At 50.5% G+C, this 20,751-nt stretch overlaps 2 protein-coding genes across 2 annotated transcripts, besides 6 other annotated features; one reads left to right on the top strand and one right to left on the bottom strand.

The window, feature by feature from the left end:
• On the bottom strand, positions 22-3,863 carry SNRNP25 (small nuclear ribonucleoprotein U11/U12 subunit 25). Its single transcript, NM_024571.4, has 5 exons — positions 3,633-3,863; positions 2,142-2,232; positions 1,809-1,914; positions 1,078-1,152; positions 22-605 (listed from the first exon to the last, which is right to left on the bottom strand). Exons 1-5 carry the CDS (start codon positions 3,672-3,674, stop codon positions 548-550), a joined length of 372 nt encoding a protein of 123 aa, NP_078847.2. The 5' UTR covers positions 3,675-3,863; the 3' UTR covers positions 22-547.
• Positions 3,513-3,612: a silencer, noted in NCBI's record as "silent region_6898". NCBI's record gives its function as "represses an Ori minimal core promoter by ATAC-STARR-seq in GM12878 lymphoblastoid cells {active_cell/tissue: GM12878}" and the evidence as "EXISTENCE:reporter gene assay evidence [ECO:0000049][PMID:35858748]".
• Positions 3,753-4,072: a silencer, noted in NCBI's record as "silent region_6897". NCBI's record gives its function as "represses an Ori minimal core promoter by ATAC-STARR-seq in GM12878 lymphoblastoid cells {active_cell/tissue: GM12878}" and the evidence as "EXISTENCE:reporter gene assay evidence [ECO:0000049][PMID:35858748]".
• On the top strand, positions 4,083-11,284 carry POLR3K (RNA polymerase III subunit K). The gene is made up of 3 exons (NM_016310.5): positions 4,083-4,215; positions 6,046-6,133; positions 10,134-11,284. The coding sequence occupies exons 1-3, from the start codon at positions 4,105-4,107 to the stop codon at positions 10,259-10,261; spliced, it is 327 nt and encodes a 108-aa protein (NP_057394.3). The 5' UTR covers positions 4,083-4,104; the 3' UTR covers positions 10,262-11,284.
• Positions 4,291-4,817: an enhancer, noted in NCBI's record as "NANOG-H3K27ac-H3K4me1 hESC enhancer chr16:102874-103400 (GRCh37/hg19 assembly coordinates)". NCBI's record gives its function as "activates a minimal SCP1, AML or CMV promoter by ChIP-STARR-seq in primed H9 embryonic stem cells {active_cell/tissue: H9 hESC(primed)}" and the evidence as "EXISTENCE:reporter gene assay evidence [ECO:0000049][PMID:30033119]".
• Positions 4,403-4,562: an enhancer, noted in NCBI's record as "active region_10198". NCBI's record gives its function as "activates an Ori minimal core promoter by ATAC-STARR-seq in GM12878 lymphoblastoid cells {active_cell/tissue: GM12878}" and the evidence as "EXISTENCE:reporter gene assay evidence [ECO:0000049][PMID:35858748]".
• Positions 17,957-18,503: an enhancer, noted in NCBI's record as "H3K4me1 hESC enhancer chr16:89188-89734 (GRCh37/hg19 assembly coordinates)". NCBI's record gives its function as "activates a minimal SCP1, AML or CMV promoter by ChIP-STARR-seq in primed H9 embryonic stem cells {active_cell/tissue: H9 hESC(primed)}" and the evidence as "EXISTENCE:reporter gene assay evidence [ECO:0000049][PMID:30033119]".
• Positions 18,504-19,051: an enhancer, noted in NCBI's record as "H3K4me1 hESC enhancer chr16:88640-89187 (GRCh37/hg19 assembly coordinates)". NCBI's record gives its function as "activates a minimal SCP1, AML or CMV promoter by ChIP-STARR-seq in primed H9 embryonic stem cells {active_cell/tissue: H9 hESC(primed)}" and the evidence as "EXISTENCE:reporter gene assay evidence [ECO:0000049][PMID:30033119]".

The following is a 20,751-nucleotide window of genomic DNA, read 5'->3' as shown; positions in this document are numbered from 1 at the left end:
CTGCCACTGTGAGCTCCAGGATGCAAACCCTAAAGCCGCTCTGCTTTTATTTCCTCCTTGCTGTGGAGATCATGGTAACACAGTTGTGTGGTTTGGGGAGTGGTGTGGCCTCAAGGCTTTGGTGGTGTGGCGCCATCTTGGACTATAGGACTCGCCTGTACCAATTCTCTCCCCTTAACTCACCTCTGTGATGGGGCAATCTCAGTCTTTGCTACCCAGGTTACTGTGGCTTTCTACTTTTCAAACTAAGAAGCAAACAGGTTTATTTTATACAGTGGGCCAGGCCGTGGGTCTGCCATGTGACTAGGGCATTTGGACCTAGGGAGAGGTCAGTCTCAGGCCAAGTACATGAAAGGAGGGAGCACTGGCTCACCCTGTCCTAGTCCTGAGGGCCCCCAGGTTTATGCTGACAGTTACTGTTGGGCATGCCTGGGGTGAGGCCACCACAACGTCCTTTCTGTGAAAGAGGCACGATGATTCGAGGACCCATTCCTGCTGGGAAAAAGCTCAGCCACCAGTGATGAAGAGGGTTGTCCTGTCTGGAGGCTCACTTTTGCCTCAGCTTTTTGATGAAGGAAACCTCGTCTCGATTCCGGATGCCGTAGCTGAAAAAGAAGGAAAGGCATAAAGCACCTGCCCTACAGAAGGACATATCTGTGACTCCCCTCCTGAGGCTGTGGAGGACCACGAAGAAACAACAGAGGGGAGGCGTGTGGCTTCTGGGAAGGCCAGGAAGTGCAGTGGCCATCCTCTCACAGACCCAGAAGCACTCCGACTCACAAGTCCCCGGGGCAGGGAACTGAGTGTCAGATAGAGTCACAGCCTTTCGCCTCCATGCCCACTCTGATTTCCTCCCTCCTGGCACTGTGTAGCCCTAAGCTGCCACTGGTGGGAAGCAGCAAGGCCCCTCCAGCTGCCCTCTGCCTGCCATTCTCCTAGTGGGGAGGGCCCCAAGGAAGCTCCTTGGAGGAGGGTGTTATCTCCGGAGAGGGAGCCGCAGCCCTCTGGCAGAGCATGGGGGACTAAGGGGCAACAGAACAGCGGTGCCCTACGGCTCAGGACGTGGCCGGCACTTACTCTCGGAGCTTCTTTCTGTCTTCCGTGAGTTTCTCTCCTGCAGAGGTCAGATGGTACGTCCTCCACACGTAGGACCTGCAAGAGGGGAATGCAGGTAAACCACGTGCCCTGAGCAGGGTGAGCTGAGTGGCTCTGCATGACGTGGGCTTGAGGCATGCAGTCCTATGGGACCTGGGGCAGCTGTCCTCCCTACCTGGGCTGTTCTGTACAATGTGCAGATTGGGTCTGAGGCAGCTACAAGGAGGCTCTGTTCTCAGAGGGCTGTCTGGGGCGGCTTGGCCAAACAAACCTTGCTAATGCAACAGGCGACAGTGTTGAGACTCAGTGAACAGGATAGTTGATCCAATAGGAGAGTGAGGGCTGACAGCACCCAGGTGAGAAGGGGATGGGAGCCCCTACAGGTGTACCATCCAAAACTAGGGAGGCCACTTCCAGACACACTGGAAATTCCCGACAGTGTCCCCAAGTGAAGATACCCAGCAGCTCGGATGGGGTGATGCCGATGGAAGAGCAGAATGTTGGGGATGGCCGAGGCAGGAGTCCCAGGCACAGAACGACCCGCACTGTCTGTGACAGGGAGCTCATCACTCTTGTGACAGGGAGCTCATCACTTCAGTGGTGCTGTACTCATGCAGAGCTGAGAGCTGTTTCCAGGTGGTGCCTGGTGACAGTGCCAAGAAGGGCACTAGCCCCACGAAGGGCTATAATGAAGGGAATGTTGTTCCACTTACCAGCTGATGTGCTGAATGCCCCCTTCACGCTCCTGCTTGAGCTGCACGTATCTCTGGATGGCCTTCTTCAGGTCCAGGACTGTGGCACTCTGCACTACAACCACGGCTGCAACCACGGACACAGATGGGAGAAGATCCATGGTGAGAACCCAAAGCCACAGCCTCCGATGGCAGGAAAGGAACCAACACCTCTGTGCACAGGGCAGGTTTGTGGTTGCCCCAGTACCCCTGGGCATGGCCTGTGAGTTTCTGAGCAGGCTGACCAGCACTGTTAGGTCTTCCTGCTGTGAAAGCCTGGACCACATAACCTGAAGGGAGGAGGGTAGCACTTACGCATTACTTCTCCATCCATCTTGCACACTCGGACCGTCATTGCCTGGCCGTATTCTAGGGCTATTTGGGAGTTGACTTCTTCCAGAGTAACCTACAAAAGACCAAGGGCAGAAGTGGGAACCCTGGCTCTCTTTACCACCTTGAGCAACAACAAAGAACAAGCCGATAGTGGCCAAAAAGTGGTGCTCCATTTTACGAAGGGCAAGGAAGGGTGGTTGCCTGTACGTTATGGTTTCCCAATTCATCAGAGCCCCAATCTCATGTTCCACTCACATTTTAATGTCCATAGTGGACAGAGTCTCTGGGGGAAAGAGGTGCTAAGAAACAGGCAAGAGAATAAACTCACATGAGGACCTGCCCCCAGGGGTGGGTAGAGGCCTGTCAGTTCACGCTGAGTATATCCCTGATCATCAGGACCCAGGCCAGGCTTCGGGACTGAGTAAGGCAGGTGTGCAAAATTTACCGGGGCAGCAAAACACGGTAATAACAATAAATATTTTAATACAACATTTAAGAAATACAAGGCAATTAAAATATCCATGATGAGCAAAATATAAAACATTTAAAATTGGCCGGGCGCGGTGGCTCACGCCTGTAATCCCAGCACTTTGGGAGGCCGAGGCGGGCGGATCATGAGGTCAGGAGATCAAGACCATCCTGGCCCAACATGGTGAAGCCCCGTCTCTACTAAAAATACAAAAAATTAGCCGGGCGTGGTGGCGCGTGCCTGTAGTGAACCCGGGAGGGGGAGGTTGCAGTGAGTCGAGATGGCACCACTACACTCCAGCCTGGCAACGGACCAAGACTCAGTCTCAAATAAATAAATAAATAAATAAAAAGACAGTATCGTCCCAAAGCATGATACTGACGCTTTGACACATGATTGACGCTTGAGGCAAATGGAACAATCAGTACTACTAATCTTGCTCTTATTTAAAACTAAATTTTTCTTTTACCGTAGGCTCTTTTTTTGCCTCAACTTTGACTTTTAAAGGTATTACAGGCCAGGCGGGTGGCTCACACCTAAATCCCAGCATTTTGGGAGGCCGAGGCAGGAGGATCGCCTGAGCCCAGGAGTTTCAGATCAGCCTGGGCAACATAGTGAGACTCCCTCTGTACAAAATATTTAAAAATTAGCCGGGTGTGGTAGCGCGCACCTGTGGTCCCAATTACTCGGGAGGCTGAGGTGGGAGGACGCCGCTGCACTCCAGCCCGGGCAACGCAGCAAGACCCTGTCCCCCGAGCCCCCTAAATACAATTACATTAAAATGTCATTTGATGTCACTCACTAATGAGGTTTTTGGTTCCTCTTTAAGCTTCGCGCCCCAGGCGAGTGCGCCCGGTCAAGGTTAAAACCCTCGTTTACGCCCAGAGGCGCCTTCCTCAGCCTTGGGCCGCAGTCTCCCACCAGCACCTTCGGAGGCTGCCGGCGCCCGGATGCCCGGACCCCGGGGAACGACTCCCGCGCCCCCAGCCCCCGCCCGCACACACCTGGATCGGCAGATCGCAGAGCAGCGGGTCCTGCACCACCATAGCCAGACCCTCCTGGAACACGTCCATGGCCTCGGAGTGCGGCAGCGCCTCTTCTTCGTCCTCATCTTCCTCTTGCGCCTCGGGCCCACCCGCGGCCTCCGTCTCCTCCAGGGCCGCCCCTCTCAGCCGGGCTCTGCCCGCACTGCCAGCCCGCACTAGGGAGGCCAAGCGCGCACGCGCAGGAACTGCGGCCCGCCCCAGCGAGGCCGCCCAGCCACTGGCGCGCCGGGGGGGGTGGGGCGGCTGCAGTGACCAATGACAAGTGCGAGACAGCCTGCAGCAGGGCCGGGAGCGCAGAATCGCCCTGTCTATTGGTTGGTTGGTGTGGCGGGAAGGCTGCCAGGACCAATGTGAGCTCGAGGCGGGCGGCGCATCGGCGCTGAGCGGCAGTGGGAGCTGCCGGGAGTTGGAGCCTGCGGAGTTCGAGACCATGCTGCTGTTCTGCCCCGGCTGCGGGAACGGGCTGATCGTGGAGGAGGGACAACGCTGCCACCGCTTCGCCTGCAACACGTGCCCCTACGTGCACAACATCACCCGCAAGGTGGGACCCGAAGGCCGGCGCTGGGCGCGGGCGACTCTCGCAGGCCTTCCGCGTCCTCCGACTGCTGCTCCATCGCCGCCAGCCCCGGCGTCTGCCTCTGTCCGCTCTTTCTCGCGCCCCTTTCTGGTCTGCAGCAGATCTGTGGGCTCTACTTTCCAATACACTCAGAAAGCCCCACCGTTTCCCACCGCCTTGGGTTCCTGCTCCCACGCTCGCGCCCTTCTCTGCGTTCACAGCGGCGGCCACGGTGATTTCCTTAAAGCTGAGGCACGCAGGTCCGTGCTGTGCGCAGAAACCTTCGGCTCTTCTCCAGCTCACGCAGACGAAAAGCCGGAGTTCTCCCAGGGCCTACCAGGTTCCGACACTGACTCCCTCCCCTGCGTGCGTCTCCGATTTCAAGTCCTAATGCCCTTCCTGTTGCCCTTTGCCGCATCAACACCGCCTCCTGGACGATCTCTCATCGTGCTCATGGTGCTAGCAGGGCCTTTGCACTTGCTGTTGCTCAGTTCACTCTTCCCCTAGATCGCCACCTTACTCATTGGTCTTGTCTTTACCGTATTTTAAATTTCAGCCCCTCCTTCCAATTTATTCTCCTTCCCTTTGTAATTGTTTCCATAGGGCTTATTACCTTCTAATATATTATGTAATGTATTGTGTGCTTTCTTTATTTTTTTTTATTGTTTTTTTTTTTTTTTTTTTTTTTTTTTTTTGAGACGGAGTCCCGCTCTGTCGCCCAGGCTGGAGTGCAGTGGCGCGATCTCGGCTCACTGCAAGCTCTGCCTCCCGGGTTCACGCCACTCTCCTGCCTCAGCCTCCCAATTAGCTGGGACTACAGGCGTCCGCCACCACCCCTGGCTGATTTTTTTGTATTTTTAGTAGAGATGGGGTTTCACCGTGTGTTAGCCAGGACGGTCTCCTGACCTCGTGATCTGCCCGCCTCGGCCTCCCAAAGTGCTGGGATTACAGGCGTGAGCCACCGCGCCCGACCTTTTTTTTTTTTTTTTTTTTTTTTTTTTTTTTTTTTTTTTTGAGACAGAGTCTCGCTCTGTTTCCCAGGCTGGAGTGCAATGGCGTAATCTCGGCTCACTGCAACCTCTGCCTCCCGGGTTCAAGCAATTCTTCTGCCTCGGCTTCCCGAGTAGCTGGAATTACAGGCGCCTGCCACCATCCCCGGCTAATTTTTGTATTTTTAGTAAAGACGGGGTTTCACCGCGCTGGCCAGGCTGGTCTCGAACTCCCAACCTCAGGTGATCCGCTTGCCTTGGCCTCCCAAAGTGCTGGGATTATAGGCGTGAGCCACCACGCCTGGCCAGAATACCTTTACTTTTTAGCAGTTAGAATATGTTGGTGCTACGTCAGTCTTAATGTTTGCATGCTACTCCAGTTTGTACTGTGTTGTGGGAGTTTGGAGTTTGAAACTACGGGAAGAGTGAACTCTTTGTTTTTTTTTTTTTTTGAGATGGAGTCTTGCTCCGTAGCCCAGGCTGGAGTGCAGTGGTGTGATCTCGGCTCACTGCAAGCTCCGCCTCCCAGGTTCACACCATTCTCCTGCCTCAGCCTCCTGAGTAGCTGGGACTACAGGCGCCCGCCAACACGCCGGGCTAATTTTTTGTATTTTTAGTAGAGACAGGGTTTCACCGTGTTAGCCAGGATGGTCTCGATCTCTTGACCTCGTGATCCGCCCGTCTTGGCCTCCCAAAGTGCTGGGATTACAGGTGTCAGCCACCACGCCCAGCCGAGTGAACTCTTATGTAATCCTGAAATTTAAGGTTTGGCAGCCCAGGTTTGCGCTATTCAGTTACTTGGAGTCTGAAGTGTTGTTTTTGTTAGGTAACAAATCGGAAGTACCCAAAACTGAAAGAAGTGGATGATGTGCTTGGTGGAGCAGCTGCCTGGGAGAATGTTGACTCTACTGCAGGTAAGAGGGAAAACTGTTTCTGTTGCTAAACTGTGGATAATTATGAGGCTGTTGATGCCACTGCTTGGCAGAGTCTATGATGTCATATAAATGATGTAGGTTTCTAAAAATAGAAAATGGTTCTTGAATAATTTATTTGTATTTGTTACTGTTTAATAATCTGTCAGACAAGCAATATTTGTGCCAGCCTTGGAGTCATACAGGCCCGGGTCAGATTCTCAGGGCAACCTTGTATTGTTGTAGGACCTTCCTTGGGTCTCTTGACTTCTCTGGGGCTAATCCATATTCGTAGACCGCGAGAGCATAAAGTGAATTATACCGTGCTTGGTATATAAGAGGCACTCAACAGGTGATAGCTTTGATAATGGCAATGATGAGTAGATTAATAAAAATAAGAGTCTAAGGAAAAAAGTATGTTCTTTCTGTTTGATATGGTTTGGCTGTGTCTCCACCCTAATCTCATCTTGAATTATAGTTTCCGTAATCCCCAGGTGTCCTGGGAGGGGCCCAGTGGGAGGTAATTGAATCATGGGAGCGGTTTCCCCCCATGCTGTTCTCCTGATAGTGAGTGAGTTCTCACAAGATCAGATCGTTTTATAAGCGTTTGCGTTTCCCCTGCTCGCACTCATTCTGTCTCCTGCTGCTCTGTGAAGAGGTTCCTTTCGCCATGATTGTAGGTTTCCTGAGGCATCCCCAGCCACGCAGAACTGTGAGTAAATTAGACCTCTTTTCTTGGCTGGGTGTCGTGGCTCACGCCTGTAAATCCCAGCAGTTTGGGAGGCCAAGGTAGGCAGATCACTTGAGGTCAGGAGTTCCAGACCAGCCTGGCCCGCATGGTGAAACCCTGTCTCTATTAAAGATAAAATAATTAGCCGGGTGTGGTGGCGCTCGCCTGTAGACCCAACTGCTCAGGAGGCTGAGGTACGAGAATTGCTTGAACCCAGGAGGCAGAGGTTGCAGTGAGCCGAGATCACACTACTGCACTCTAGCCTCGGTGACAAGAGTGAGACTCTGTCTCAAAACAAACAAAACCCCTTTTGTCTATATAAATTACCCAGTCTCAGGTATTCATAGCAGTGTGAGAACGGACTAATACACGCTTCTAATATAGATTTTTAGAAGTTAATACCAGTGAGCATTAAACTGCAGATTGGGTAAAATACATGTTTATTGCATGTCTGGTAGACATAGATGTGGCCAGGAGAGGAAAGGGGAAGACGTAAATGTAAGTTATATTGAGAGGTGAGAGAGATAACTGATGGTTAGTACTGTGGTTTTCCCCCTATAAAAGAACATATAGGCTGGGTGTGGTGGCTCACGCCTGCAATCTCAGCACTTTGGGAGGCCGAGGCGGGCGGATCACCTGAGGTCAGGAGTTCGAGACCAGCCTGGCTAACACGGTGAAACCCCATTTCTGCTAAAAATACAAAAAATTAGCCAGGCGTGGTGGCAGCACCTGTAATCCCAGCTACTCGGGAGGCTGAGACAGGAGAATCGCTTGAACCCGGGAAGTGGAGGTTGCAGTGAGCCAAGATTGCATCATTGCACTCCAGCCTGGGCAACAAGAACGAAACTCTGTCAAAAAAAAGAACATACAAATCTGCTATGTGAAAAAGTTAGCAGCTGGCACGGTGGCTCACACCTATAATCCCAGCATTTTGGGAGGCCAATGTGGGCGGATCACGAGGTCAAGACATCGAGACCATCCTGGCCAACATGGTGAAACCCCGTCTCCACTAAAAATACAAAAAGTAGCTGAGCGTGGTGGTGCCTGCCTGTAATCCCAGCTACTTGGGAGGCTGAGACAGGAGAATCGCTTGAACCTGTGAGGCGGAGGTTGTAGTGAGCTGAGATCGTGCTATTGCACTCTAGCCCAGGCAACAGGAGCAAAACTCCGTCTCAAAAAAAAAAAAAAAACAAATTAGCCAGGCTCAGTGGCGCGTGCCTGTAGTCCTAGCTACTCAGGAGGCTGAGGCAGGAGAATTGCTTGAACCAGGAGGCGGAGGTTGCAGTGAGCCGAGACCATGCCACTCCAGCCTGAGTGAGACTGTCTAAAAAAAAAAAATCTTTTTACCTAATGTCAGAAATAGAGTGTTTGAAGCCATTTCTGTCAGGTGTAGGATAAGTTTCTCAAAGTGAAATCGCTTTGAAGAGTGCAATGGTGTGATCTCGGCTCACTGCAACCTCCACTTCCCAGGTTCAAGTGATTCTCCTTCCTCGGCCTCATGAGTAGCTGGGATTACAGGCATGCGCCACCACGCCCAGCTAATTTTGTATTTTTAGTAGAGATGGGGTTTCTCCATGTTGATAAGGCTGGTCACGAACTCCCGACCTCAGGTGATCTGTTGGCCTCAGCCTCCCAAAGTGCTGGGATTACAGGCCTGAGCCACTGTGCCTGGCTTTTTTTTTGAGATGGAGTCTCTTTTGCCCAGGCTGGAGTGTAGTGGCACGATCTCTGCTCACTGCAAACCTATGCTGCCCGGGTTCAAGCGATTCTCCTGCCTCAGCCTCCCTAGTAGCTGGGATTACAGGCACCTGCCACCACGCCCGGCTAATTTTTGTAGTTTTGGTAGAGACGGGGTTTCACCATCTTGGCTAGGCTGGTCTTGACCTCCCGACCTCGTGATCCACCTGCCTCAGCCTCCCAAAGTTCTGGGATTACAGGCAAGAGCCACCATACCCGGCCTCTTCTCTTCTTTTCAGCCCACACCAGAATCGCCCTTAATGCTCAATTCTTTTTTTTTTTTGAGATGGAGTCTCACTCTGTTGCCCAAGCTGGAGTGCAGTGGCGCGATCTCGGCTCACTGCAAGCTCCGCCTCCCGGGTTCACGCAATTCTCTTGCCTCAGCCTCCCGAGTAGCTGGGACTGCAGGCACCCGACACCACGCCTGGCTAATTTTTTGTGTTTTTAGTAGAGACGGGGTTTCACCATGTTAGCCAGGATGGTCTCGATCTCCTGACCTCGTGATCCGCCTGCCTTGGCCTCCCAAAGTCCTGGGATTACAGGCGTGAGCCACCGCGCCCGGCCCTTAATGCTCAATTCTTGACAATGCAGGCTTTTCCCAGCATTTACTTCAAAACTCTTCCACCATCTAACCATTACTTAGTCTTAGGCATTTTGTTACAGCAGCACAAAATGGACCAAAACAGTCACCTTCCATGTTACGTTTCCAACCAGCCTTCAGCTGGATTTGAGAAGAACCATGGGACTCAGGGAGGGGAGGGGGAGAGTGTGTGAGTCACAGGTCTCCCAGATTCCCTTAGTGTTACAGCGTGGTGGGAATGACATCACTGTTTGTAGATCTACCCTTGTCAAGGGGGATCAAATGAGCAGGGAGGTTCTTTACCATCTTTAAAGATATTAAGTAGTCTGGGCACGGTGGCTCATGCCTGTAATCCCAGCACTTTGGGAGGTTGAGGTGGGCGGATCATGAGGTCAGGAGTTCGAGACCAGCCTGGCCAACATAGTGAAAACCTGTCTCTACTAAAAATACAAAAAAATTAGCCGGGTGTGGTGGCGGGCAACTGTAATCCCAGCTACTTGGGAGGCTGAGGCAAGGAGAATCACATGAACCCGGGAGGCAGAGGTTGCAGTGAGCTGAGATCGCCCCACTGCACTCCAGCCTGGGTGACTGCGAGATTCCATCTCAAAAAAAAAAAAAAAAGATATTATAGTAATACCTACTTTTTTTTTTTTTTTTTTTTTTTGAGTGCAGTGGCACGATCTTGGCTCACTGCAATCTCTGCCTCCTGGGTTCAAGCGATTCTCCTGCCTCAGCCTCCCAAGTAGCTGGGATTAAAGGCGCCCGCCACCACGCCTGGCTAATTTTGTATTTTTAGTAGAGATGGGGTTTCACCATGTTGGCCAGGATGGTCTCGAACTCCTGACCTCAGGTGATCCGCCCGCCTTGGCCTCCCACATATTAAGTAATACCTACTTTTGACAGCCATGAGTAGCATCTTTTTTTAAATGTGGTCACTTCTTTTTTCTCATTGCCAGAGTCGTGTCCCAAATGCGAACATCCTCGTGCTTACTTCATGCAGCTTCAGACCCGCTCTGCAGATGAGCCGATGACCACCTTCTACAAGTGCTGCAATGCTCAGTGTGGACACCGCTGGAGGGATTAGGGCCAGGATGGCCCAGCTGCCCTAGTGTGTGCTTGCCTTGTCCCTCGGGGTAGATGCTTAGCTGGCAGTATGAGTTGTGTGTCCTGAGGGTCTTTGCTAGTGTGGTGGAAAGATAAACCTTTTGAGGTGAAGAGCCAGGGGGTCAGGAAATATGGCCTATCTGCCAGGCAGGGTGGATGAAGTCATGAATGTCTGGGAGTTTTTCTGTGTGGGGAGGAGACAGAGACCCATAACTAAATATGCTCTGTGTAAAGTCCTATTCTTTCATCTTCCACTTTATTGGCAGTTGACATTCCCTTACTCCCAATCAACACTCTTAAATATTTGTACTGTTTGTAAAACTTAGTACATGTCCCTAAATATTTAACTGTTACTTGTAAACTTGTGTAATTTATTATTTATTTTAATCAAAATTCTGAATATTTCATTTAAATGAAAGTTGGAATATTGCCTTCTCAGTGTTTTAAATAGCTTAAGAGGTAGAAAGCAAACCCCAAATCACAGTGATCCCAGAATAGACTACATACTTACATTTGAACAGGCTACGAAAATGTTAATCACCGGGATTTCAATTTCTTTCTTTATTCCTATTCTTACTCCCTTATTCATTTTTTTGAACCTCCCCTGATTTGCTTCCTCGGGTTGCTTTAAATGTATAAGATACTATTTATTTATTTATTTATTTTATTTATTTATTTATTTATTTAAGACAGAGTCTTGTTCTGTCGCCCAGGCTGGAGTGCAGTGGTACGAATTCAGCTCACTGCAACCTCTGCCTTCCGGGTTCAAGGGATTCTCCTGTCTCAGCCTCCCAAGCAGCTGGGACTACAGGCATGCACCACCACACCTGGGTAATTTTGCATTTTTAGTAGAGATGGGGTTTCTCCATGTTGGTCGGGCTGGTCTCCAACTCCTGACCTCAGATAATCTGTCTGCCTCGGCCTCCTAAAGTGCTGGGATTACAGGCGTGAGCCACTGTGTCCCACCAATCTTTACATTTAATATGACTATTTTCTTATTGTTTGAACATGTTGATCAGTTCCTGATCACAATATGGGGCCTATCCTATATGGGTCCTAGAGTGGTTGGATTTTATTTTTTAACCTAAACACAGACCCTAGGTTTGAAAGGGTGTACTGGGTCTGTTAGACTTATAGGCATTTTTTTTTTTTTTAATACTTAGCCATGCATCTCTTGCATTGTCACTCCTTTAGGAGTGCATCTGTCTTCTAAGGGTTAGCTCTCCTAACTCTTTTAAATCCCCTCTAATTTGATTAATGATTGGGGGCAGCCTTCTGAACAATATTTCACGGGACGAATACCCAGTTTGTTTGGTGGGGGTGTACCTGACTTGGAGGAGGACCATGGGCGAGACCCGATCTTATTTTAGATGAGTTTCTTGACAAAATTTTTTCAGCAGCTGTTTGAGTGTCTGGTTCGTGCACTGTACTTGAGCTCTGTGGCCTGTAGGATGTACGCAATTTCCACTTTATTTTTAATAGTCTAGTTAAGTCCTGAACTCTTGCAGCCACAAATGTTGGTCCATTGTCTGATCTCAGAGGCAGTCCAAATCTGGGAATAACGTCTCCTAACAACACCTGAGTCACTTCTAGTGCCTTCTCTGTCCAGATGGAGAAGGCCTCGACTTATCCTGAAAAGGTGCAAATGAACACCCACATGCACTGATAGCCCCCCTTTCAGGGCAATTTGGCGAAGTCCATAAGCAGCTTTTCACAGGGCATGGCTGGCTCATGTTTCCTGAACTCCTGGGGGCCAAGCAGGCCCTTGTTATGGATTGTTCTGAACACAAGTTAAACACTGTTTGTTTACAAATGGCTTGAGTAATAGCAGCGAGCCATGGCACATAGAAATGATGCCTTAATAATGTCTTTAGTGCTGTTTGTTTTTTTTCCCATGTGAGTTCCTTGGTGGAACTGTTCTACAAATCGGGGTCACCATTTCAGGTATGGCCTCCCATTGGAGAATTTTACCGTCCTCCTTCAATGTAGTTCTTATTTTTCTGGGCAAACCAAGCCCTTTTATTTGCAGGGGTGCTTGGGATCTCTGGGAGGGAATCTCCGGGAGGAGAGGCATAGCTGAGGCCTCCTCTTTAGAAGGTGGAGTTGTCACTGCAGCCTGCTTTGCCTTTTTGCCTTTCTATTTTTTTTAGCCTTTGGTGTTCTTGCTTTTCGGTGCCTCTCGCAGGGCATCATGGCCACCTCTTTTGGGGCTCATACAGCATCTAAGAGCTGCAAAATTTCTTCCTTGTGCTTTTTTTTTTTTTTACTTTCAGTAGTTAAAAGGCTTTTTTTTTTTTTTTTTTTTGTAAATAGCCTCATGAACATGCAAAGTGGCAGAAGCATATTTGGAATCTTTGTAAATATTTGTCTTTTGGTCTTTTCCTAGCCAGGGAGTTCTTGTCAGAGCTATCAGCTCTGATTTCTAAGCAGAAGTTTCTGTAGGCAAAGACTGCACCTTTACTACTGAGTCCGAAGTCACCACTGCGTACCCAGCTTGGTGGACTCCCTTTAGTATGAAATTGCTTCCATCAGTAGAGTATTCAATGTCTGAGTCCCCGAGGGGCCGATCTGGTACATCTCTCTGGCTTGAGAACACTTTATCTACCAAGTCCACACAGCAATGAAGGGGGCCTCTTGGCACTGACTTGATGAGGAGCAGTGTAGCTTGGTTTAGGGTATTTAGTCTCTAAAGTCAGTTTATTAGCTTTTTCCACGACTGCATTCACGCCCGCGTCCATGCCTTCTTGCAAAGCTAGCTTCTCTTCCTGTAAGCGCTGCTGCTAGTAAATTAGCCTTTCTTAAGCCTCTGATCAGCCTCCTGATCTCCGTTAATGTACACCTTGGTAGCCACTTTAATAAGCTGAGTAGCATTCACGCCTGCGGAGCTTCCAACTTCTGTAATTTATGCCCGATATCTCCTTGGGCCTGCCTTACAAATGTCGTATTCACCATGTGCTGATTTTCAGCAGCCTCAGGGTTAAACGGAGTGTACAACCAAAATGCCTTACGAAGTCTATTATAAAACTGACTGGTGCTTTTATTTGCACCCTGGAGAACCTCTGAGATTTTGTGTGTGTGTGTGTGTGTGTGTGTGTTTTTAGACGGAGTCTCGCTCTGTCGCCCAGGCTGGAGTGCAGTGGCGCGATCTTGGCTCACTGCCAGCTCTGCCTCCCGGGTTCACGCCATTCTCCTGCCTCAGCCTCCTGAGTAGCTGGGACTACAGGCGCCCGCCGCCACGCCCGGCTAATTTTTTTGTATTTTTTTAGTAGAGACGGGTTTTCACCGTGTTAGCCAGGATGGTCTCGATCTCCTGACCTTGCGATCCGCCCACCTCGGCCTCCCAAAGTGCTGGGATTACAGGTGTGAGCCACCATGCCCGGCCTGTCCTCTGAGATTTTTTATATTGGTTGCCTTTCTCTTTTACCTTCCTTTAGCCTTTGCAGAAATGTTTCTTGGCACCTTTGTAGGTGCTGAAGCTGGGCTGCATCATCGGATCCTGGTGGGGGTTCTCTTGTCCTCTGAAGAGGCGTAAGTTTAACTTGGGCATGGCCGGGCCTGAGACGGCCTGCCTGACTTTTTGAGCCTTTCACTTTAACTTCCCGGAGCTCTGATTTCTCCCTCTCAGGTGAGACTGGGAGCATGTATCTGTTTGAACTTGACTCCTTAGGTGCAGTTAGCCTTGGTAAAGGGGGGCAGATTGGAATATAGGGAGGGGTGGTCTCTATTCCCTCCTGTGGTTCTTGCAGAACGGTTTTTCTCTTTCTTTTCTGAGACTTTTCATTCGTCCCCATAGCTTCCAGGGCAGCTGATTTTTACTTTTGCTTTTGGCTCAGTGGTGCTACAAGCCTCTGTGACTTTCCCTTTAACTCTGTAGCTGCCAGCGCAGCTGATTTCTCTCTTGGCGTGGGCTGTGACGTTCTACAATAAACTGCTAGGCAGGGCTGCATTCACTTAGCCATGAGTCAATACCATTGCCTTTGGCTTCCCTATCTCCAGGGTCACATTCCCTTTAGGTGTAAAGGAAATTTGTGCCTGCAGTTTTTGGAGCAAGTCTCTCCTCAACAAGGGCACTGAAGAATTTGGCATATATAGAAACTCATGCTGCACTTCTTGTCCTCCAATAACACATCTCCTGTATTTGGAAAAAGGTGTCACGTCTTTGGCCCTAGTAGCTCCCATGATAGCAGCATAGTTCTTTTTGTGGGTGCTAATTGGGCGAGTTACCACAGAGAAATCAGCACCAGTATTGACCAAAAGATCCATTAATTGGCCCCCTTCTTCCATAGAGACCACAGGCTCCCTGGGGCCTAAAAAGATGGAGCCCAGTCTGTCTCAGTCCTCAAAATTCTCAGCCCCCGCTAAGCCAGTCAGATCAGGATCTGCCTTTGAAGCACTATGACCAGCAACTGAATGCCACACTTGGGTGTTAGACCATTGACCATCATCTCCATCCGTTTCCTTTTGGGGACACTCATGTTTCCAGTGGCCCATTTGTCTGCACCTTGCACATTGGTTCCTGTCCAGCCGGGACCAGCTTCCTCTCCCTGTCTTGTCTGCCCTCTTCCTTGGCCTCTTCCTTGGCCACACCCTCTAGCAAATCCAGGGTTACTTTCTTGCTAGTGCGTCAGCTATACACTGAGCCATCTCTTTGTTTCTATTTTTGGTTTTTCTTTTTTCCTTTGGTTGGGCTGCCTGGGCCACTGATGCCTTGTAATATCCCTCTAGGCAGGGCTGTAGCCACCTGGGGCAAGTTTGTGCCACACTGAGCCAAGTGTCCATACAGGGAAACTGGTCTGGGTATCCTGGTTGTCCTCCAACTCCAATGACCACCTTAAACACACGGCCAATTAATTCCCTGTCTATTGTAGCTTCAGAGGGTCACCCCACATTGAAAGCAGACCAATCTATTTCACAGTATGTCCTTAACTTTTGAGCATCCAATTTCATCCCATAATCACCTCTAAATCCTTTTTTAAAGTTCTTTATCATGCACTTCAAAGGAGTTGGTTTAGACACTTCCCCTCCCATTTCCTCCCTTGTGGCACACTCTCACTCACTTTCACTCTTGGGTCCACCAGACCTGGTCCTGGAGTTTCGGACGCTGCTTAGCCAGGAATGTGCCTTCCCCTCTCACAGCCTGCTGCGGCTGTAGAGCTGGTCTTATCTGCCATATGCAACGTCCTACGTCTGATTTCACCCGCACTCGCCTCGGAGCACACAGCCTGCACTAAGGGATCTGTGCTTCCCCATGTCACTCCCTGCATTGGCCTCTCCCGAGACCGTCTCTTTCACACACTTTCACACACCTCCTTTGCCCCAGGACTCCTTATTGGAGGAAACGAGCCTCTCTCGTGTCCCGGGTGAGCCTAGTTAGGCTCCTACATTCACACACATACACACACCACTCCTACCCCAGGACTCCTTATTGGAGGAAACTAGCCTCTCTCATGTCCCGGGTAGGTTCACACACACCCACACACTCCCAGTCGCTGTCTGCAGATCCAGTGAACCACTTTCACTTTGTTAGTGGGGACGCGAGGTTCATCCAAATTGGCAGGCCACTCCTGCCGCCCCCAGCTGCTCTGGGTTGGATTAGTGGTTGGTCCCTGGGAGGTGATCAAGCTCGCATTCATCCCTGTGGGACAGGCTTTCCTGCCTTGGTCCTTGTCTGCTTACTTACCTTACTCCTTACCATGGTTCCCGAAGTGCTGGTATCATCCTACAGCCCCATCCCTGGTTCCGTTGCGCTGCCGGACAGGGCGCCGGGACGTGGGGAGTGCCGGCTTCTATCCGGGTGAAGCTCCCCCGTGGTGCACCTTGGATGCTGGGTCTCCCCTGGCCCTGGGGCTCTAGTGCCGCAGGCAAAGGAGAAAGTAAATCTGTCGTCTCCAATCCCGGATGAACCCCCAGAAATGTTTCGGGATTGATAAGGAATCAGAGAGACTGATGGGGTTGAGGAGGATATTTATTATTTAGGAGCACCAGCCCAGTCGGATTAACATCCAAAGGACTGAGCCCTGAGCAAAGAGTTACCTTTTAAGTATTTTGTGGGGTGGTGGGAGATCTGTGCAGGGAGAAGCATATTACAGAAGTGAGAAACGAAGGTAGTTATTTAATTAATTGAGACATGCATTACATCATTTCTCACTTTTCAAAGAAAAACATGTTTTGCGACTTGAGTTTATCTGTCTAGTGACCTTGCAGCTGCACGGCTAGAGAAGCAGGGTCTTCACGATGCCTGGGAAAGGAGGAGAGATAAGGCTCACTAGCCACGGAAAAACAGGCAGTCAATTTTTAAAGGACTCCAGCTCTTTCTCTTTCTCAGGGGAACTGGGTTTTCTTACATACAACTGAGTTTCTGCTTACACATTCTTTAATTTCTTTTAATTCCTGTTCCAACGCAATCCCAGCTCACTGCAGCCTGGACCTCCTGGGCTCAAGCGATCCTCCCACCTCAGCCTCCCGAGTGGCTGGAACTACAGGTGCGCACCATGCCCAGCTTGTTGTTATTATTATTATTATTATTATTTATTATTATTATTATTTTTGAGATGGAGTTTTGCTCTTGTTGCCCAGGGTGGAGTGCAATGTCATGATCTCGGCTCACTGCAACCTCTGCCTCCCGGGTTCAAGCTATTCTCCTGCCTCAGCCTCCTGAGTAGCTGGGATTCCAGGCATGTGCTACCATGCCTGGCTTATTTTGTATGTTTAGTAGAGACGGGGTTTCTCCATACTGGTCAAGCGGGGCTTGAACTCCTGACTTCAAGTGATCCGCCCACCTCAGCCTCCCAAAGTGCTAGGGTTAAAGGCATGAGCCACTGCGTCTGGCCTAATTTTTATATATATTTTTTTGTAGAGACAGGGCTTTGCCATGTTGCCCAGGCTGGTAACTTCCATATGTTTTTTATAGGCAATTTTTTTTATTTTATACTTTTTATTTAATTTTTTTGAATTTAACCTCAGAATGTGATTATAGACAAAATTCAAAACATAATAATTGAGTTTAATTTTTGTAATGTGGGTCTATTACTGAGAAGAGTGGATGCCATTTTGCTTCATTGGGGTTCAAAGTTAGTGTTCCCTGTCATTGAAATCAATTGCAAATGTGCATCTGTGAATGCTGGTTACATCCAGGAGAGCAAATGAAGTATACCATTGACACCACTGATAGAGTCAATAGATTCACCACTGATAATGGATTCAGATATTTCCCACAGAGTTCTTGCTGTTGAATAATGCAGTGAAGTCAGGCACAGTGGCTCACGCCTGTAATCCTAGCACTTTGAGGCTGAGGTTGGCGGATCACCTCAGGTCAGGGGTTCGAGACCAGCCTGGCGAACACGGCGAAACCTCATCTTTACTAAAAATACAAAAATTAATCTGGGTGCAGTGGCTCATGCTGGGCATGGTGGCACAGCTTGTAATCCCAGCTATTCTGGAGGCTGAGGTAGGAGAATCACTGGAACCTGGAAGGCAGAGGTTGCAGTGAGCTGAGATCGTGTCATTGCACTCCAGCCTGGGTGACAGAGTGAGACTCCGTCTCAATAATAATAATGATAATAATAATAATAATAATAATGATGATGGAGTGAAAACCATACACTTTAAGCACTTTATGTTTTCATAAGCTTCGTACATTTGTCCACCTAAGCTTTTTCCTGCCCCACACATGCTTTTACCGCCGCCAGTTTTAACACATATTTACACTTCCTTTTTTGCTGCATTAGTGTCTCATCTTTGGGAATATTCTTGCTGCAGTTGTTTTTTTTTTTTTTTGAGACAGGGTTTCACTGTCACCTAGGTTGGAGTAAAGTGGCGCAATAACGACTCACCACAACCTGAAATTGCCGGGCTCAGGAGATCCTCCCACCTCAGCCTCCCAAGGAGCTGGGACTATAGGCGTGGGCCACCCTGCCCAGCTAAGGGAGGGTGAATGGCTGAGCTTGCCTGAAGACCCTCCCGTGGGTGTGGCAGAGCCTGTGGTCTGAGGGAGGGGTCTAGCTGCAGGGCAGCGCACAGCTTCACAGTGGCCCAGGGAACCAGGGCAGGCAGGCCGTGAGGCCCAGTGGTCATCTGGGCCAGGCCTTGATGCTGAGGCCATGGAACAGGTGAGGCTCTAAGAAGGGCCCAGAGTGACCATGGGCTGGAGGCTATGTCCACAGACCCAGTGCAGGAGAGGGTGTCCTGGGCAGTGATGTCAGCCAGGCTCCCTAGCAGGACTGGGGGTGTCGGGGCAGCTCTTTCCCAGGTGGCAGACACTGGCTTCCCCTCTTGCTCTCACAACTGTCCTGTGACCTGGTGTCTGAGCTGTGGTGAGGCCTCCCTGGTGACACAGAGGAGCACGGAGCATGTGGGTGGGGGTGTGTGCACCTGCCCTGACTTCCTGGTCCTGTGGTCAAGGATGGGGGAAGGTAGATCTGCCTGTAGCTCCACCCTATTTGTAAAGCACTGTGGTGCCTTCTGCTGGGGCATGTGCTGAGTGGTGCCTCGCAGGCACTGCCCTCGGGAAGTTCACAGGCTTGTGTAGAAGCTGATGGGAATGTGCCAAGAACAGAGGTGTCAGGAGCCAGGTATTGGGCAGGTCCTAGGTCTCTGAGCCTCAGTCTCCTTATCTGTAGGAGGGTGGTAACCCTGCCCTGCTCAGCTTACCAGGTGCAGCTGTGAGTTTTCAGTGCAGAGGAAAAGCAGAGACCTTCCCCTCAGATGGCCATACCCCCTTGTCGCTATACCCAACACTCTAATGCTCCCCTAGGGAGTGTCCTGGGCTCCTCCTTTGTAGCTCTCAGGTGTCACATGTGGGTCTTGCCCTACCATCCCCTCTCCCTTTCTAGAAATGAGGACTGCTGAGCTTGGAGCCGCCCCACTCCCTGCTCTCAAGCCGTCTGCTCCTGGGTTAGCCTGTGGCTGGCCTGGCCTGATTCTACACCGACGTGGGTGTTTCTCCACTGCTGGGGCAGCGGTCGGCCATCCTGGGGCCTGGGTCAGCTCTCAGCTGTGGCTGTTGTGCCTGTGCTTCCCCAGGTCCTGGTGGTCACTCCAACCCCGCCCTCAGATATCCCAAGAGCAGGCTGACTGTCTTCCCCATTCCCACCTTTCCAGTAGCTGCTGCAAGAAGGGACAGACGTTGCTGCAGAGAACTTGCCACGGTGTTTCATGTTGTGGCCGGTGGTGCCAGACTGCACGCTCCATTCTAGGGAAGGGTGAGTCTTCCCGATCATCAGTCTTAACAGGGGACTGTCCTGTGGGTACCTGGGTAGGCTGCAGGAGTGGGGTTAGAGTAGTGCCTACTGCCTGTTGAGAGTGTGTGAGTTCCTTAAGAGCATGCATGCTGGGCCAGGCATGGTGGCTCATGCCTGTAATCCCAGCACTGTGGGAGACTGAGGCGGGCGGATCATGAGGTCAGGAGTTCAAGACCAGCCTGACCAACATGGTGAAACCCTGTCTCTACTAAAAATACAAAAATTAGCTGGGAGTGGTGGTGCGCACCTGTAATCCCAGCTACTCAGGAGGCTGAGGCAGGAGAATCACTGGAACCCAGGAGGCAGAGTTTGCAGTGAGCCGAGATCGTGCCACTGCACTCTAGCCTCTGTCTCAAAAAAAAAGAAAAAACAAGGCGTGCATGCTGTAGTCTGTGTGTATGTCTGTTTTTGTTCTCCTCCTTAACACTAGTCAGTCTTGTGTAACCAGGCTGGCCCTGCTTCCTGCTTAGAAGCTATTGGTGTATCATCTGGAGCTGCAAATAGGGTGATAGGGCGTCAGTAGCCTTCCCACACTCAAGAGCTTCCTGACACCCAGCCCCTCATCTCCAGCCAGCCTCTGGCTACCCCAGGAATCTTGGGGCTCAGGCCTAACACTCCAGCATAGAGGGCTTTGCCCTTCTGGTGTACTCTCGCTTGGAGGCATCTTGGAACAGGGGTACAACAGAGCTCTGGAAGTGCTGTCTGTTGCATCGATACCCCACTGCCACTTTCGTCCACCTTCCTGGGGCAGAATCCTGGGATGGGTCTTTATTTAAGACAAAAGGGAGAGAGAAGGCATAGAGGCTAGGCATGGTGGCTCACTCCTGTAATCCCAGGACTTTGGGAGGCCGAGGCTGGTGGATCACTTGAGGTCACGGGTTTGAGACCAGCCTGGCCAACACGGTGAAACCGTCTCTACTAAAAATACAAAAAAAATTAACTGGGTGGCAGTGTGCACCTGTAATCCCAACTACTTGAGAGGCTGAGGCAGAAGAATCACCTGAACCCAGGAGTCGGAGGTTGCAGTGAGCCGAGATCACGCCACTGCACTCCAGCCTCCAGCCTGGGCAACAGAGGGAGCTCCGTCTCAAAAAAAAAAAAAAAAAAGAGAGAGACAGAGAAGAAAAAAAGAAAGAGAGAGAGAAGAAAAAAAGAATGCATAGAGGCCATCTGTGTGACCCTGGGCAAGTCATTTTCCCTGCTTCACTCCTTGGGACTCAGCCTGTGAACG

This window comes from Homo sapiens, chromosome 16, assembly GCF_000001405.40.
Source record: "Homo sapiens chromosome 16, GRCh38.p14 Primary Assembly".
NCBI lineage: Eukaryota > Metazoa > Chordata > Mammalia > Primates > Hominidae > Homo > Homo sapiens.
Note: the sequence above shows the minus strand (reverse complement) of the source record. Positions and strands in the feature narration are given on the sequence as shown.

Bases quoted from the DNA above. Each gene is read 5' to 3' on its own strand.
- SNRNP25 (NM_024571.4), bottom strand. From the start codon at position 3,674: ATGGTGGTGCAGGACCCGCTGCTCTGCGATCTGCCGATCCAG. The intron at 1,153-1,808 runs GTAAGTGGAACA...CCCCTCTTGCAG, and splicing joins GGCATTCAGCACATCAGCTG to GTCCTACGTGTGGAGGACGT. The intron at 606-1,077 runs GTAAGTGCCGGC...CTTCTTTTTCAG, and splicing joins GACAGAAAGAAGCTCCGAGA to CTACGGCATCCGGAATCGAG.
- POLR3K (NM_016310.5), top strand. From the start codon at position 4,105: ATGCTGCTGTTCTGCCCCGGCTGCGGGAACGGGCTGATCGTGGAGGAG. The intron at 4,216-6,045 runs GTGGGACCCGAA...TGTTTTTGTTAG, and splicing joins TGCACAACATCACCCGCAAG to GTAACAAATCGGAAGTACCC. The intron at 6,134-10,133 runs GTAAGAGGGAAA...TCTCATTGCCAG, and splicing joins GAATGTTGACTCTACTGCAG to AGTCGTGTCCCAAATGCGAA.